The sequence below is a fragment of the Homo sapiens genome, chromosome 19 (assembly GCF_000001405.40).
Source record: "Homo sapiens chromosome 19, GRCh38.p14 Primary Assembly".
Taxonomy (NCBI): domain Eukaryota; kingdom Metazoa; phylum Chordata; class Mammalia; order Primates; family Hominidae; genus Homo; species Homo sapiens.
In genome coordinates, this window is record NC_000019.10 from 30,723,970 (window position 1) to 30,741,999 (window position 18,030).

General features: G+C 48.0%; 1 annotated feature.

The window, feature by feature from the left end:
- Positions 9,994-11,193: an enhancer, noted in NCBI's record as "BRD4-independent group 4 enhancer chr19:31224870-31226069 (GRCh37/hg19 assembly coordinates)". NCBI's record gives its function as "activates an origin of replication core promoter dependent on BRD2, P300/CBP, MED14 and CDK7 cofactors, and independent of BRD4, by STARR-seq in HCT116 cells {active_cell/tissue: HCT116}" and the evidence as "EXISTENCE:reporter gene assay evidence [ECO:0000049][PMID:35650434]".

The window sequence follows — 18,030 nt, forward strand, 5'->3', positions numbered from 1 at the left end:
TCTACAAAAATACAAAAATTAGCAGGGTGTGGTGGCACATGCCTGTAATGCTAGCTGCTCGGGAGGTGGGGGCATGAGAATGAGAATCACTTGAATCCAGAAGGCAGAGGTTGTAGTGAGCTGAGATGGCACCACTGCACTCCAGCCTGGGTGACAGAGTGAGACTCTGTCTCAAAAAGAAAGAAATAAAAAGAAAGAAAGAAAAAGAAAGAAAGAAAGAAAGAAAGAAAGAAAGAAAGAAAGAGAGAGAAAAGAAAGAAAGAAAGAAAGAAAGAAAGAAAGAAAGAGCTACAGTAACGCATGCAATGCGAAGCCCTGAATTCTGGGATGAGTCTCCTTCCACAGATTGCTCCTTAATGTCCTGTCCATCTGCATCTGAAATCCCACTCTCATGATCCCATCACATGCATCAATGTTGGTGAGATTGCGCATAAGAGTAGTGGGAATGGAACATTTAAAAAGAGCAACCCCTTGCAAGGAAAGTATTATGGGTGAGGTAATGGGCCCTGCATGAAGAATAGGATTTGGATGTGAGGGGGTGAGAGAGAGAGAGTACCTGAGAAGGTTCCAGAAGGAAGAGTAAATGTGCTCCGGACCAGAGATCCAAAGGTCCCTGGTGGCTTCTGCATCCAGCAAGCAGGCCAGGAAGCCTGGAACCTGAAGCCCAGAATGCGGGGATGTGTGGACAGAATGTCTGTGTTCCCTGACCTCAAGTTCATACACTGTCCTCACCCGCAATGTGATGGTAAGAGGCAGGGCCTCTGGGGGCGAGTGGGTCATGAAGGTGGACCCCTCATGCATGGGATTGGTGCCCTTATAAAACAGACCCCAGACAGCTATCTCACCCTTTTTTCCTACCAAGTGAAGACAAATTGAGAAGACAGCCACTTGTGAAGGAGGAGGTAGACCCTCACCAAGACTGACCGGGCTGGCACCCTGATCTGACTTCCAGCCTCCAGAAGGGTAAGAAATACATTTCTGTTATTTATAAGCCCCCAGGCTATGGTACTCTGTGACAGCCGTCCAAAAGGACGAAGCCAGAGGTTGAGGGATAAAGTTCCTATAGGCAGCTATGCACAGGGTGGTCCCACTGTGTTTCCTAAATATTTTTTATTGTCATGCAGGTCAGGGTGGGACTGACAGATTCTATCACTGAAAGAAGCTAGAGTGACTTGTGGTGAACTAAATCATGCTCTACCCAAAAGGACTTTCAAATGAAAATTAACATTGCAACCCACAGAAAGAAGGAAGCTTCTGAGACAGTTGATGATTACTGTCTGTTCCTGGTATAAAATTAGCATCATCTCCTCAGTAAGCCTTCTGTACCCATCCCTGGTCAATAATTATTTTCCTCTTTGTAAGCCCAAAGCACCTCTCTCTGGGTAAGAGTGTGGAACTCCCTGTAGCATGTCAGGGCTGGTTGTGTTTTTCTACTCCTCGACTGGAGTGGGTCATTTGAAGGCAGCAGCCTTGGCTCATTTCTGGATCCATGGTGACCCATGATGGGAGCTTCTTGTATGCTTTATGTTCCATGTTGACAAATAAATCAGTGCAAAGGTAGAGTGATGTCCACAGAACCAGTTTCAAACCCAGCCTTCCTGAATTTTAGTTTAACAGGACTACAATTTCCCCTATGAAGTTCCTGGAAAGAAACCACTCAATCCACTAAAAATATAGTTGGCTCCTGGAGGGCATGCTTATTCAAAGCCAACATGGGCATCCCCATGGCCTCAACACAGCGCCTGGCACCTGTGCATTCAATCAATGTCTGCAAAATGACCACGATCGGGCCATAGTGGATGCTCTCAATGCCCTGATCCACGTTCCTGAGCTCACTCTGAACCCATCTGTGGCTTCACCGGACAGTTCCTAGCCACTGACAGCTTTTCTCACATGAAGAACCATGGGAGCTTCCTCAGCTCCTTGCAAGGAAGCCTGGTCATGCTGGAGATTAATGCACCCAGGGCAACATTCGGGCAATGGGAGACAGCATCAGCGTGTACACACCCCGAGACTGGCATTTGCTCTGCTTTCTCAGAGGGCGTTTGCAGGACGGAGCTCCAGTTGTCCATGGTGGTGACCTGCCCATAAATGCACTCAGGATCAATGTCCCCCCTTCCCTATCTCATGTCCCCACTCTCTCATTTCTGTTTCCTGGGATTATCTCTTAAATGAACAATCTGCACCCATGTCCTTGTCTTACCAAGTGCCTGCTTTTTGTGGGAACCCAAACTAAGATAGGAGCTAAAGAAATATATGAATAAATGTTGGATGAATGAATGAATGAGTGAAATTATGAAGAGAGAAGAAGAGTCTGAAAGCAAACCATGCACATTCCACCATCTCCATTGGGCTGAGGCCGGTTCCAGGAACAGGGACTGACAGAGAAGGAGGCTGTGGCTCCTTCCCAAGGTGGAGTCCGAGTCAGGGAGGGCCAAGTCTCAATGGGATTGTTCCTGGCAGGGCCACAGGAGTCAGGGGGAAGCATGGAAGGCCTCTCTGTCCAGATGCGGCAGTCAGGGCTGGCTGCCTCCTCCCAGAACATCCTCCTTGTGGCCGGTATCCATGCACGATCCTACCTGGAGCCTAAGGGAACTTCAGCAATGAATGAAGGAGGCATCACCCAGAGGGCAGCAGTACCCTCTGGGATGGAGTAAGACCATGGCAGGCTGTGTTCTGAGCCGAGTTCTATAAAAATAACATAAAGGCCCAGATAACCGGGGTGGGAGTGGGGAACATGGAGGAGCTAGAGCTGAAAGAGGAAAGGACTGGGCACCCCTTCCAGATGGCTCCTTCCCCGCTCCCCACCCATCCTGCTATGAGGACAGGGATGAATCGAATACCTGAAGGCGGAAACAGAAGGCTTCACCAAAGATTGGATGGAGAAAGCCAGGCGCTGCTGAGCGCTTAACGACAACCAGCCTTCTCCCCAGAACCGGCTGTGAGCACAGCTAAGAATAGACCTGGGCCAGGACGGTGGAGTCTCTCTGTGCGAGAGTTCTCTGCGGGAATATTCTAAACTCCGCAGTGGAGCCGGCTCTGCCTCAGCCTTGCCGAGCAGGGGGCCAAGCGTGTCTGAGTCAGTTCAGCTGCTGTAACAAAGCACCGTGATCGGGGTAGCTTATAAACAACAGACATTCATTTCCCACAGCTCTGGAGGCTAGGGAAACCAAGGGCTCTCTTTTCTGATTCCTAGAGTGCCATCTTTGTGCTGTGTCTTCAAATGTCAGAAGGAGAAGAGATCTCTCAGGGGTCCCTTTTTATAAGGGCACTAATCCCATTCATGAGGGCTCTGTCCTTATGACCTCACCATCTCCTAAGAGCCCCTCGTCCAAATACCACCCTACTGGAGATTAGGTTTCAACATATGAATTTGGGGTGCAAGGCACAAGCCCTCAGTCCATACTAATGTACACGTCTCTACCTCCTCAGCTGTGTGCAGAGCAACCACCTTTGAAAGCAAATGGTTCAACATCTGTAGCAGGAAAAAAATAAACAAACAAAAAAACCCATCAACTCCTGCAGTGGGCTCATTCACTTTGCATCCACGGAATGGCTTAAATCACTGAGTATGCACCAAGTGTCTGTGGCGTGCTGTGTTTGCTTGGTGCTAAGGGGCACACAGCGGAGAGGACATATCCCTGATCTTGGGGAACTTGGATTGATACTCTTTGGAGGAACAAGAGGGATAGATGGGAAAGTGAAAAGAAGGCCAAGGAGAGATCACGAGGGAATTTAGTTTGGCAAGTGGGGAGGGAAGCTGCCTTGGCAGTTCGTGGGGTGGTTGGAGAAGTAAGGAAGAGATTGGGAGAAGCCGGGCCTCACAATGTGAGGAGGAGGAGAGAGTCGGGGGTGCCCATAGGGCCGAAAGTAGCAGAGATGCCCAGGACACCACTGGGCTTGTGCAGGTGAAGCCGTGGGTGAACGAACCTTCGAGAATAGGCTCAGTGGGGCGGAAGACCAGGCCACGCAGCTGCACAAGATCAGCAGGGCTGGGTTGAGTGGAAGCAGGAGGAAAAGGATGGGGAAGGAACAGGAGAAATAAACAGGTGGGCTCCTCCAGGAAACTGGGCATGACACGGAAGACGAGGTGACTGTTGGGCATCTGTGGAACATGAGGTCACATGGTGGCGAGTGTCCCACTGGTCGCTTGGATTGGGTCGATCTGCCCGGCTAGTGGTGTCAGTTACCAAGCACATATCACCCACCCGAGTGTTGCAGCTGTAAAAAGAGGCCCTGCTCTCACAGGATGATGCTGAGCACATGTGGGAGCTCCAGTCTCTTCTCTTGCAGGAAACCTATAACCCACCCATAACACTGAGGCATCTAACTTTTGCTAAAGAGTTGCTCCTCTAATAAAATCCTGTGGTTTGAATAGGACAGAACCTAGGGATTTGACTCTTCAGAGCATGATAACCAACACTGCAGGGTGAGGCTCGCTGGTCCGAGTGAGCCAGACCAGTGAGATGCTGAGACTTTTGAGATGCTGAAGCCTCCTGGTAGAGGGGTGCAGCCATAACTTTGACCCAGGGAGCACTGTAGGCAGGCCTGGGGGTTGCTCAGTAATGTCTCTGTAGCTGACCACGTTCACTGATTCAACAGATGTTTATGGAGCACTTAACCATATGGGAGGCCCAGTGCTGGGGCTATGGTGGGAGCATGTCATTCATGGGCTCTACCCTAATGCTCCCAAGCAACATCAGATCAGGCATGGAAATAAGGACTATGACCTTGTCTATTCTTGCCTTAGTATTTTTAATTAATTTATTTATTTTGAGATGGAGTTTCACTCTTGTTGCTCAGGCTAGAGTGCAATGGTGAGATCTCAGCTCACTGCACCCTCTGCCTCTCAGGTTCAAGTGATTCTCCTGCCTCAGCCCCCCTAGAAGCTGGGATTACAGGTGCCCACCACCATGCCTGGTTAATTTTTGTATTTTTAGTAGAGACGGGGTTTTACCATGTTGTCCAGGCTGGTCTCAAACTCCTGACCACAGGTGATCCACTTGCCTCGGCCTCCCAAAGTGCTGGGATTATAGGCGTGAGCCACTGCGTCTGGACCTTTGCCTTAGTATTTTAAGAGTCTTCTCTGTAATGGATATTTACCCAGAGTTCCTTCCTGCTCAGTCTCTTGGCGGAGATAGAGAAATAGTGTTTTTCAGCAGCCACATCTCAAAGATGGTACTTGTGCTGTGGATTTCCCTGGTTTGAGACCTCAGGCTTCCCACTATCCTCTGATATAGCCCCAAAGGACTAATGGAAAGAAGCACCTTTTTTTCTCTCTCTTGTCACTCAGCACCTTCCAGTTGGTGGGATTTAGAGACTGTCATCCCAAACAGAGTGACCACGTTAGGGCCAGACTGACCGACACCCACAAATGTCTCCTGGGCTGAAGTAGCTGAATTCTCCTTCCTAAATTCTCTGTTTGGCCACTTCTGACCAGTGCTGGCCTCGTTTCCCCTTCGTCTTTTAGAAATCCAATTTTACAAGCTGTTGGTCTTGAGTGTGGACGGTTGCATTTTATTAATTTGAAAAAAAATATTATTTCTAATGACTCCTCTAGCCAGTTCTTCCTCCTCGCAGAGCTACTGCCTGTGTAGAAGGGGGCTTTGTTTGCACTCCTTTTATTGTCAGAAGTGTGAGCAGTGGGCTGTGGGCAGTGTGAAACCGCAGTGCTGCTGTGATGAAGCATCACGCATTTTCCTTGGGCTGTCATAAGAGGGGAAGTGGTGTTTGTGCCTTTGCTGGGTAATTCATGGGGTAGTATGTAGTGCTTTTAATGATGCCCAAACAACTCCCGGTTTCCTGCACAGAACTGACCTATCCCACTTGCCACTACCGTGAATGTCCCATTACCAAGATGGAAACACACCCCTTTCCTTGGAATGCCTTTTCTTCCTTTTTATAACAAGGCCATTGTTGGCTGTGGGAGATGTGTGTGTTTGTGGCAGGTGGTTCCAGGCCTGCTCTAGAGATGGCTCCTCACTGCCCAAGATGTGACAACTGACCCCCTTAGCAGGTGCCCCTCCAACTACTTAGCCCTCATTGCCCACCTCCCTTGGCTGACCTGATTTATACCATTGCATGTGGTCAGTTCAGTATCCTCAAAGTCACTGCCCAAGCAGCTCTTTCTTGTCTATGCTGCTTCTTCCTAGCAGTCCCTCAAGATTGGGTTTAGGTCCCTCCCTTTTCCCAGAAGCCCCTAGTGTCTCCTGTAGGCCCCAGTGGGCTCTCCTCCTCTAAACTTTCATGTTCTGTGTGATCCTAGCAGCGTGGCTGGCTCAGCACGTGATGACAGATGGGCTCAGCTCTCACCTGGCCTCCTGCACTGAAAGGGCCTTGGGGACCAGGCTCTTGAATCATTTTCCTTGTGCATCCTAGGAGTGCCCGGTGAAGGAGGAGTCGATGAGTTCCTGCTGTGGGTTGACCCAATTGATTGAGAGATGGATAACTGGACCCCGTGGTCTGTGTAGTTTTGTGAATTCGGAGTTTCTTTGGGGTTTCCAAAATCAGAAAGGGCAGGAGAAGGATGAAGCTTTTAGCAAGACAGAGGCAGATCTTCCTAGACGTCCCCTGCCCTGCAGTTGTCTGGTCCCACATTTAAGATCCCAGAATTGCGGACCTGGAGACATGGGGCACTGAATCCTGCCCACTGGCTATTAGTCGGCGTGGTTTACTAAATCTCCTTGCCCATGAATATGGTCATTGTTTAACTGATGGCTGCTTTCTCTACCAGGAGCGCTCAGCATCTCAAAATGGCCTTGCGTGAGCCTAACACAACAAGAAGTGATGCTTATTTTTGTGTATTGGCTTTCAAGGCTGACTGGTTCAGAACTGCATTGTAATTCTAATGGCCCCTACTGAACACACTGTCATCAGAGAGATTATGTCATTGAAAACAGGAATAACAATGGTACAATCGGTTAAATTGTTTACCCTTATTGGACAATGGTCAGTGACAAGTTCATGTGGGTTGATCACCTTCTTCTTGCTTTCTTACATTGGCTTCCCCTCTCTATCAGGTGGGAGTTTGTGCTGATAGAGTGTGTGTATCTGCATGGAAGTGTGTGTATCTCCCTGTGTGTGTCTGCATGGAAGCATGATACTGTGGAAATAACTCGGATTCTTTTGTTTGTCTGACCCAGATTTGAATCCCAACTCTGTCTCTTAGTAAGTATGACCTCAGCCAGGTTACCTATGCCCATCTCTGATGTGAGGGTGACTGGGCACCTCTGTAGCTGTATTGTGAGGGGTGGTGCATTGGTGAGGTGTGCAGGGTGGTGGAGCAGGCTGGCACCCAGTGCCCAGGCACCCCGTGTTTTCCGTTTTTATGGCAGATGGCAATAATGCCCGGGTGTGCGGGAGCAGTGATAATGGATGTTCTCGGCCTTTCGGTTCACTGCAGTGTTCCCCTAAAGTAGATCATTATTCTGTATGGAATAAATAGTGTTATCGGGCTGATATGCTTAAGGCTAATGAGCCCATGTCTAGCATCTGAGAAGCCAGATAACAAGACATGTTTTTCTCCATTGGCTTCTATTGATGTATTAATTAATGAAATCCAAGATTCCCCTTTGAGCTGGAAGAGTGTTTAAATCACTCTTGAGCTGTACACAGCACTGTCTCCCTCTTGCTCCCAGATGCTGGAGAGGCCAGGGAAAGGCAACAGGGTCTTCTGCCTCTGGCCTGGCCCAAGCGGGGCAGGAGGAGGTATAGACATGAAGTCTGCACCAGACATCCCAGGCTTGTCTCAGTCCCAGTGCAGGCCACATCACAGCTGCAGGGGCTCTGCAAGCCCCTCCTCCATCATCAGCCCTGGGGGACCAGCTCCGGCAGCCTGGTGGCCCCGGGCCCAGGCTTGCTCTTGGTCTAAGCATCTGCTCCAGTTCACATTTTACCTCCTTTGGGATTTCTGTCTTCCAAAGGGCCCCAGGACACAACACTGAAATTCACTGTGTTTATACCAACTCAAAACCTGCCCACAAAGGAGGTTGTGTCATTTCAGTCCTGGGCAAGGCTTTTGTACCCATGTGGTAGGTTGGTGGGTTTTGAGTGACCATCTCCTTTTGCAAGTAGCAGCATGGAAAAGGTCACAGTGTTGATATTAGACACGCTTGTGTTCTAGGCCCCATGCCAGCACTGAGTAGCTGCTTGAGCTTAGTCAATTTGTGGAAATTCTCCGAGCCTCAGTTTCCTGGTCTGTGAAATGGGGATTATGAACATATGGAGCCCAAAGCGCTGTTGTGAGGACTACATGAACTAGCATGAGTAAAAGAATTCCAGGAATAAGGCCTGCAAGAATAGATTATCAAGGAGGCAGGGATGATTCTTATTGTAACAATGATCATACATCTATTAAATATGGAATGGGGGGCTAAGATTGCTCAAAAGGTCTTTCTCACAAAAGTGAAATTGCATTATTTTTCATACCTTCCAGTAACTAGCTTTTCTAATACTCTGGTGAGAAAATATCCTTAAAAATCTGCTTCAATATTTAAAATTGGTGTGATTAGCACCTTGTTTTCCATACTAAGGGAGAAGGGCATCTGAGAAAAAGTTGTCAGAAGTGGCGTATACATCTCTCCACCACCTTGCTGGAGCCATAACGTGTGCCTTGGCACCCGGAACTAACCACAGACTTCCTGCACTCCTTCCATAACCACATACCTCACATCCTATAGATAGCCATCTAGCCTGCAACCCATAAGTAACTTAAGCCCCAACATCCTAAAGGTAACCATGTACCTCTGCACCCCATCAGTAACCATGCACTTCACATCTTACAGGTGACCATCTACCCCACACTCCGTTAGTAACCTGAGCCCCAACATCCTAAAGGTAACCATGTATCCCTGTACCCCATGGGTAACCATGCACCTCACATCCTATGGATAACCATGTACTCTGCACCCCATAAGTAACCTGAGCCTCACATCCTAAAGGTAACCACGCACCCTTGCATCCCATAGATAACCATGCACCTCACATCCTATAGCTAATCATCTACCCTGCACCCTATAGGTGACCTGAACCCCCGCATCCTAAAGATAATCATGCACCTCACATCCTATGGATAGCCATCTACCCTGCACCCTATAAGTAACCTTAGCCCCCACATCCTAAAGGTAACCATGTACCCCTGCACCCCATAGATAACAGGTACCCTTGCACCCTAAAAGTAACCTATACTCTCAGACTATAGGTAACCATGTATTCCAGAATCCTTTAGGAAACCATATACTTCACATCCTATAGGCAACCATGTACCCCTGCACCCCATAAGTAACTTGTACCCCTGCATCTTCAAGGTAATCATGTACCCTGCACCCTGCACCCCACGTACCCACACACACAAGGCCAAGCCTGCAGAGTGGAGTAAAGTTGCCTCTTCAGTCTGTGTTGTCTCACATGCAACATTCCCACGTGCTGTTGCCCCCTCCAGCCTGAAGGAGGAAGGCAGCCTCAGAAGGCTTCTTATTCGGGCCCACCTTTGCTCCTCCCTGGGAGCATGGCAGGTGTCCTGCTCTGGTCTGGATCATACAGCCATGACCATCACACCTCACCCTGGGACGCATGTGCTGCACGTCTTTGCCTTCCATGGTGAACCTCTGAGTCTCTCTCCCTGATACTGCTATTGGCAGTAGGCAGCCTGCACACCCTGCCAGGACACCATGGTGATTAGCATCGGTCAGTATTCACCACCGTGGACCCCAAAACTTCTTTCTCTTCTGCATTTCGTATCGGTACACTTAATGTTTTACAACTCACATTCTACTCTATTTAGAATCAATAGCCACTCAGAATTAAAATTCGAGCCGAACTATAAACCATAAAAGCCCTTGATTATTTCATTAGTAATTTACTAATTGGCATTAGATATTTAATTACACATTCCAAATATTTGATGAATTATTTTAGCTCTGCATAGAAAGCCAGTGATAGGGACTATATTTTTCAGGAAACAAAAAACCCAGAGAGATGCCGCGCGGGAAGGGTTAGTGTCTATGCGTGTCTGAAGCCGGAACAACTGGTGGAAGGATTTGCCTTTTCTTTGAAGGAGGCCACCCAGACAGCCATTGAGTCCAGCTTGGTATCCAGTGACCCAAGCCTGTTTCTCTCCCGTCTTTGTTCAACAACACGGCTTTCTGTTCCCCCTTTTCTTTTGGAGACGTTATCTTTTCTGCTTTGATCTGCTTCCCACAACATAAGGTGATTTCTCTTCTTATCCTCCTGATGGGCTGTGTTTTGACATGGATAAAAAGGAGTCAGCCTCTCACCTCCCGTCACTCGCTCTCACCCAGTCCCTTGTCCTCCCAATTCATCTCGCAGCAGGCCCTGTCTGCATCGGACACCAGATGGCCCCCACAGCCTTCTTAGAATAGATTTGCATTAGATACCACTCGGTCTCTGGCTCCCTTTCTTAAGGTGTGGGAGCTGTTTCTCTAGAAGGAAAAAAAAAAAAAGATAATTTCAGTACAAGAAAAAAAAAACGCACAAATGTTCATTTCTGTTTCTTCAGGGATCTTTCTGATGATAAGTGGGCACTGAATTCACGCAGCCCCAGAAGTGCCTTCTACCTCTCTCTTCACTGTGCCCAGGACCCCATCTACTGGGCACCCACCTATGGACCAACATCTCCGTGGGACAATTCAACAAATATGCGGGAAGATGTACATTGAAAGATGGGTGTTTGTTCTTAATCTGCCTGGCTCTCCATAGACATCAGCTTGTCTATCTGTTGTGGGGGTGGCCTGAGAGCTGAACTGGACCCAAAAAAGCAAAACAGCACAGCTACTCACGCACTATGCTCACCCTGGGCCAGACCCGGGGGAGAGCAAAATATATTTCTCACTGATTCTCACACTGAATCCTCTGTTATTCTCATAACAGATTGTGGCAGGCCATATGTGGAACTTCCGTTGACCATTCCAGGGAAGCCCAGGGAGGGTGAATGGATGATACAGAAGAGAAGGCTGCATCCCGGTCACAAACCTGCAATACAAATCAGAAGGAAGAAGTTAGCCCTTAAAGGGCCAGCCGAGCCCCAGTGCTGTGCCATGAAAGGCATATTGTCAGGAATTACAACATGGACCCAACGGCCCTTATTTGGAAGATGCAAATGCAAGTCTCCTGCCAGACAGACTTGCTCCTAAGTAAGAGTAGCCATTTGGGATGCCTGTGCAGGAGGGTGCAATGGAAGCTTGAAGACCAAGGAATCCTTTTGTGTCTGTCCACGAACACTCTAGGAAGGAAGTGGGAGGCATGAAGAGAATTTGCTACCAGCACACCCTCTCCAGCTTAGCTCAGCTTTTAATTGGATCTTTTTATTTTTTTCTTTTGAGATGGAGTCTTCCTCTGTCGCCCAGGCTGGAGTGCAGTGGCACAATCTCTGCTCACTGCAACCTCTGCCTCCTGGGTTCAAGCGATTTTCCTGCCTCAGCCTCCCGAGTAGCTGGGACTACAGGTGCCCAACACCATGCCTGGCTAATTTTTGTATTTTTAGTAGAGATGAGGTTTCACTATGTTGTCCAGGCTAGTCTCAAATTCCTGACCCCAAGTGACTTGCCGGCCTTGGCTTCCCAAAGTGCTGGAATTATAGGCATGAGCCACTGCGCCCGGCCATAATTGGATCTTGAGCCATCACTTAACTTAGCTGTAAAATGGAGACAGTGTGCCCCACCCATCTCATGATAGAGGGAGGATCACTGAAGACAAGGTCTTGGGAAAGTCCCAGCACCAAACCTCAGGAAGGGCTGGCAGGTGGAGGAGGAGAATGATTGTGTTTCACCGAGCCATTAGCTTTACTCCTCCTTCTCTGGCTTCTGAGCTTTAGAATTTATCTGTATTTTAACCAGCCTGTATAAATAGATATACCAGGTTTTATGAGAGGCTGCCTCAAATCCCTTTGGAAATAGGGTGGGTATAAAATAAAAACCAATACAGTAATTTCTCAAGAGAAATCTAGCTGCGATGATCAACATCAAGGAGTGCCTTTGTTTCTCTCTGGACTTGGAGCCACTTTGAAATAATGAGGCTTCCAGAAGCAGGAAGTTTGTCCTGTCCTTGAACCCCCAGGGTGCATGTTCTGGGGAAAGGAGAAGGTTCAAGTCTCCACGCAAAGGATTTCAGGCATGTTCCCCATGGTGCTGAGGTGGACCTCTAAGCCCTGGCCTCCTCTGTCCCAGCCTCTATCACACTGCAGCCCCAGAGCACCCCCTCCACTCACCACCAGGGCGTCCTCCCCTTGACCTGCTCACCCCTCTTTCTGGTCAGCTTAATCATTTCCACCACTCCCAAGACCTCTGGACCAATCAGCTCTTCACCAGGTCAAGATCAATGTTTAACAACTGAATAAAAGAGGGAATCCCATCGTTTAATTGGAAACAAAGAATGGATTGTAGAAAGATCTTTATCATCTGGGTAAATTTCGAAGTCAAGGTGTGACAGTTCTGATTAACTGATTAAGCTGATTCACTTCGCCTGGCTTGCTTGTCTCCCCACCCTCTGCTTGCAATCCTACAAGACCTTTAGGGCCCACTGCAGGGCTGGTACAGGAAGCCTTTACAGGTCCCTTGCAGAATGCCCCCTAAGGTTATCTGTCTCTTATCCCTGGGGCACTCAGCACCTCTCTTGGGTTTAGCTGTGTCTGGTCTCCTTCCTTCCAGGGAGCTGACCATCCTGTTGCTGCTGTTACCTGCTCTGGGTGCCTCTGTGTTTATTTCACAGTGTAAGACCTGGCATAGATTAGGTGCTCAATGACTATTTTGTTTGTGAATTGGTGGATAGATGACATAAACTGCAGACGCGTTCTTGGACAGCTGGAAAGGGAGGAGACCCTTGGGATTTGGAATGCCACTGACTGCCCTGTACAGAGAGCACTGTGAGGCTGGTGTCATACAAGTGTCCAACATCAAGGATTTTGCCCCTAGACTCAGAAAGGGTGTGGAAAAAAGCAGCAGGAAGAGAGGCAGGGATGAATGAACTTCTCCTGGGCAGGACAAGGAGAGGAGTCCTCATTGACTGAGGGTCAGAGAAGCTGCGGCCCTCAGGGCTGGCTTTCAATTTGGACACAGGATCAGAGTGATGGGGGCTGGCATGGCCAGGGATGGGAGGGATGTCAGGGGCTGCCACCCCAGGCCAAACGCCACCCAAAGAGACTCTTTACATAGAGAGACTTGTGTATTTACCTTTAGGGTCTTTGAGCTTGTGAAATGCTTTTCTACTTGGAAGACACAAGGTAGAAAAGCAGCCGCTTAGAATTGGAGCAAAAGAGATCTTGGGAGCACAGGTGGGGGACGGGAGAGAACAGAGGAGGAGGTGAGTCTTCAGAGGGGACATTTCCATGGGCCCTGATTGTACGTGCCCAGCAGACTTCAACCAAAATGCCTGGTTCCAGCCAGGTGTGGTGGCTCATGCCTGTAATCCCAGCACTTTGGGAGGCTGAGGTGGGCAGATCACTTAAGGTGAGAAGTTCAAGACCAGCCTGGTCAACATGGTGAAACCTAGTCTCTACTAAAAATACAAAAATTAGCTGGGCATGGTGGTAGGCGCCTATAATCCCAGCTACTTGGGAGATTGAGGCACAAGAATCACTTGAACCTGGGAGGCCGAGGCTTCAGACACTCAATGAGCTGAGATTGTGCCACTGTACTCCAGCCTGGGGAACAGAGCAAGACTCTACCTCAAAAAAAAAAAAAAAAAAAAAAAAGAGAGAGAGAGAGAGAAACCTCGAAATGCCTGAATGCCTGGTTCCAGATCGCCTCAGTGGGTAGAGACCCAAATAAATAGGAACCACCCAGTTTTTTCCTAGGGCATAGGCGCAATTGCTGTGTTTGGATTTTTTTTATTTTATTTTAGACCTAGGGTCTTACCACTCAGTCTGGAGTGCAATGGCGTGATCTCAACTCACTGCAGCCTCAACTTCCCAGGCTCAGGTGATCCTCTTGCCTCGCCCTCCCAGGTAGCTGGGACTACAGGTGCACACCAACACACTGGTGTCCTTCTTTTGTTAGGATGGGATCTCACTATGTTGCGCAGGCTGGTTTTGAGCTCCTGGGCTCAGGCGACCCCGACCTCGGCCTCCCAAAGTGCTGGGGTTACAGGTATGAGCCACTGTCCCTGGTGATTTAGGGAATCTTAAGAGACAGGAGTGTATCATATTTCCTGGGTCTTGCTACCTAGTGTTTGAGCCAAACATGCATAGACCCAACCCACTGCCCACACATGTATATACCCATGCACATATGACCCGAGGTTGTGTAGGAGATGAGAGGCTGTGATGTAGCCTGGCCCTTACACAACCCTCCCTGTGTGCCTCCCTCCCACACATAGGTCCTCCTGAACCCTGGGAGAGTTGGCCGCTGTGCCAGGGGTCCCTGCCCCCATGGAGCTGAGAGCCTAGTGGGAGAGACACACACCCAATCAAATAATCAGATGCACACCAGTCACCAGGAAAGGTGACATTTTCTAGGAAGGAAAGCAAAGGCATTTGGCTGAGGGGGACAGATAATGGGATATCACTTGACTCAGTTTTGGAGAGGTCAGAGCATGCCTTACTTGCCTTATTTTGATAAAACAGGAAAAAAATATTTAAAAGCAAAAGGGACTGAGGCCATTTGTGCCTTCTAAGGATGCCTATTTGTAGGGGATGGGGAGGAGCAATTCACCTCCATCAGGAAATAGCTGTCCTTTGTCCTTGGGGGCTGAAATTTGGAGAACTGGCCTGGTGAGGGCTCAGGCTGCTGAATTTAAGAATAGGTTCTTGCACCTGCACATGGAGTCTGGGGTCTGAACAACAGGGGATAACTTGCTTTGCATAATAAAGTGCTAGAAGTTAGATGTGCATCTATTTATTTGAGTTGCTGGGGTATCAGATGGAGATAGAGAGAGGAGAGAGGTGTCCAGTAATAAGGGGAAGGGTGAAGTCCAAATTTGTGGAAAGGATGAGAGAATTTTAAAGAAGAGAGCTCTCTATCACTCAGTTTTATTTTACTTTACTTTATTTTATTTAATTAATTTATTTTTTGAGTCAGGGTCTAGCTGTGTCACCCAGGCTGGAGTGCAGTGGTACACTCTCAGCTCACTGAAACCTCCACCTCCCAGGTTCAAGTGATTCTCCTGCCTCAGACTCCCGAGTAGCTGGGATTACAGGCATGTGCCACCATGCCCAGCTAATTTTTAAATTTTTTTTAAGTAAAGGTGAGGTTTCTCCATGTCAGCCAGGCCGGTCTCGAACTCCTGACCTCAGGTGATCCACCCACCTCGGCCTCCCAAAGTGCTGGGATTACAGGTGTGAGTCATCGCGCCCAGCCAGAGGTATCACTCAGTTTTAAATTGTCTGCTGTGTGGAAGTGCCCCTGCTGCTGCCCCCTCCTCACCCACAAGCCTGTTACTCTTGAGTCATTAGCAAGGTCCTCTACCAAGCTGCCCCCAGTAAGTGCAACTTTAGATGAGAGGTGAAAGGAAGTTGAAGAGAAACAGGGTTAGGCTGACGGCAGCGGTGGGGTTGAATTAAAGACAGCAGATGCTCCTGAATTTGCCCAGAGCTGGAAGTCAGAGCCCTAGGCCCTGGGACTCTTGGGAAGGAGTTTGGATTCACCCCAGGTCACGAGGTGAGGATTGGAGCTGCTATTGACTTGACATCTGGATTACATTAAGGCCGAGAACTGGGATGGAGAACCTCTTTATCTGATTATTTGGTACTAACATTAGTCAGATTTTAAGGGGGAAAAAAATCAGAATTATAGGATTGTTACAAACAAAGCCTTTCATTAAATCTGAGTATGCTGGATAACTGACGCTAATGGCTACAGAGTGTGGACAAGTGGGTGTCCTGCTGAACCTGCACTCCTGAAGGACCGAGGGCCTTTTGGGACGAGGGGGGACCTGCCGACACCCAGGGTAGGTCTGAGACACTTGAAAACTGCTGATCTTAAAAGGTTCTAGAAATGGTGTCCCACAGTGTCTGTTCACAGAGCCCACACTCAGCACATCTTTTGCGCACAGGCGGAGCAAGGTACAGTCTGCCTGGTCCTTGTCTGAATTTCTACTTATTCACACTATTTAGGAGCAAATGAATAAAGCCTCCTGTATCAGGAATTTCATAGCCCCAAATCAACTTGGGGAATCCATCATGGGCAAAGGTTGCAGCTGCACCTCAACGTAGTACCTTTGCAAGAGGAACCCTTGCTCCTTCAGCCCCCTTTGGAGTGCATAGACAGAATCTGCCTTTGAAAGGGCGTGCCCTGGAGCACTGGAGGGATGATTTAGGGTGAGTGTTTCTATAGGTTTCTCAACAGCGGCACTGTTGACGCTAGGGGCCTGATGACATTTTGTCCTGGAGGTTGCCCTGCGAGCATTGTAGGAAGTTCAGCTGCCCCTCGGCTGACACCCATAGATGCTAGTGGCACTCCCACCCCTCCAAGGTGCGACAACCAAAAATGTCTCTGGACACTGCCCGCTATTCCCGGGACACAGATTTGCCCCTAGTTGAGAATCATTGATCTATCGGAGGCAATTTGCAGGCACCTGCCCTCAAAGAGCATAAAATCTGTGATTAAAGGCAAAACCCGTGCTGAGGGCAGAGGCCACTGCATCAAAGGAAGCCGGGGAGGGAAAAGCCCACCTTCATGGTCGCTAATAACTCTCCTCGTAATTTCAATTCCGGCGAGTCCTTTCTGCTTTCTTCTTTTCTAAGAACTATATTTCTGAGGTCCCAAGTGACACATTGGACTCATTAAGGCTTCTTAATTCCCACATGAATTATTGCTGGAAGGGTCTGAAGGCCCAGTATCTCGCCTTATTACACCTGTAGTTATGAGCAGTAACTATGGCCTTTATTACAACATTCAGCACCAGCTATTAAATGTGAGGCATGAAAATGATTATTTCACCCCCAAATCCACTTACCACTGGCACATTTCCACGCATGTTCTCATACCAAACCGAGGAGCATTCTGCCGACGACCCTGCCAAATGCCGAGACCTCTCTGTGGGGATGCCCGATTTGCTGAGGTTGCCTGTCAATCATTCTTCATTACTGTTTATAGAGTCCAATTTCAAGATTTCCTTAGGTGTTGGCATTAGCTAATATTTCAATAAATAAAGCAAAAGCTAGTGCTGTCACTCTTTCCCATTTCACCAAAGGATTTTTCTTTCCCTACAGAAAATCAGTAGGGCTAAAACATTCCTTGTTTAGCTTGGGGCTAAACACACCCTACATGAAGCAGAAAAAATCATCTAATTTTTTCAATGAAAGCCTATGCCAGTCAAAGACATTCTTACCTACTCACACTTAAGAGGCATCAAAAATGTACAAATATTAGAATCCTCGGCCTCCACAGGCAAGTTGCCATGTACACAATTATGAAAGGGAACCAAATTAAGAGGGAATGTGCAGAACGCCTTTGAAATATCGAAGAAACCGTGAACGCTGCTTCATTTTAATGTCTTAGATTTCACCGATAATGAGGAAATTGTCCTCGTTTTCATGGGTAGAGGTTCTTAAAGGTTTTAAAATCTGAATAGTAATGCTGCTCAATTGTGCAGATTATAAATAACTTTTGACAAATCCAGTGCCTTCCATTTTGAGTCCACTGTTGAAAATACAGAGAGCAAGTGGGAAACAGAGAGAGAGTCCAGGGGTTGCATAGGATACCATTCAAAGAAGGGAAGAAAGAGAGGCATCCTGGTAACAAACTCTTTCTCTCCCAAGAAAGAGTTAACAGAAAGAAATAAAATCAGATATGTGTAGCCTCCAGACGTCCATTAAAGTGCAGAATGCTGTTTTCTATCACAGATTATATGCCAGATGTTCAAACTATCTCTAATCATTGCAGATGTAATGGAGTAGAATGTTGCAGTTTGTGAGTTTACTGGCATTAATCCTATATACTGCACAAGGGAAAAGATTTTAAATATATAATTATATCTCATTAATACTCAGGTTTTATTTCCTTTCAATGGAACAGGACTTATTAAAGCAACCATTTACCGCATGTTTTCTTTCAGTATTTGGCTCCAGCATAATCCTGT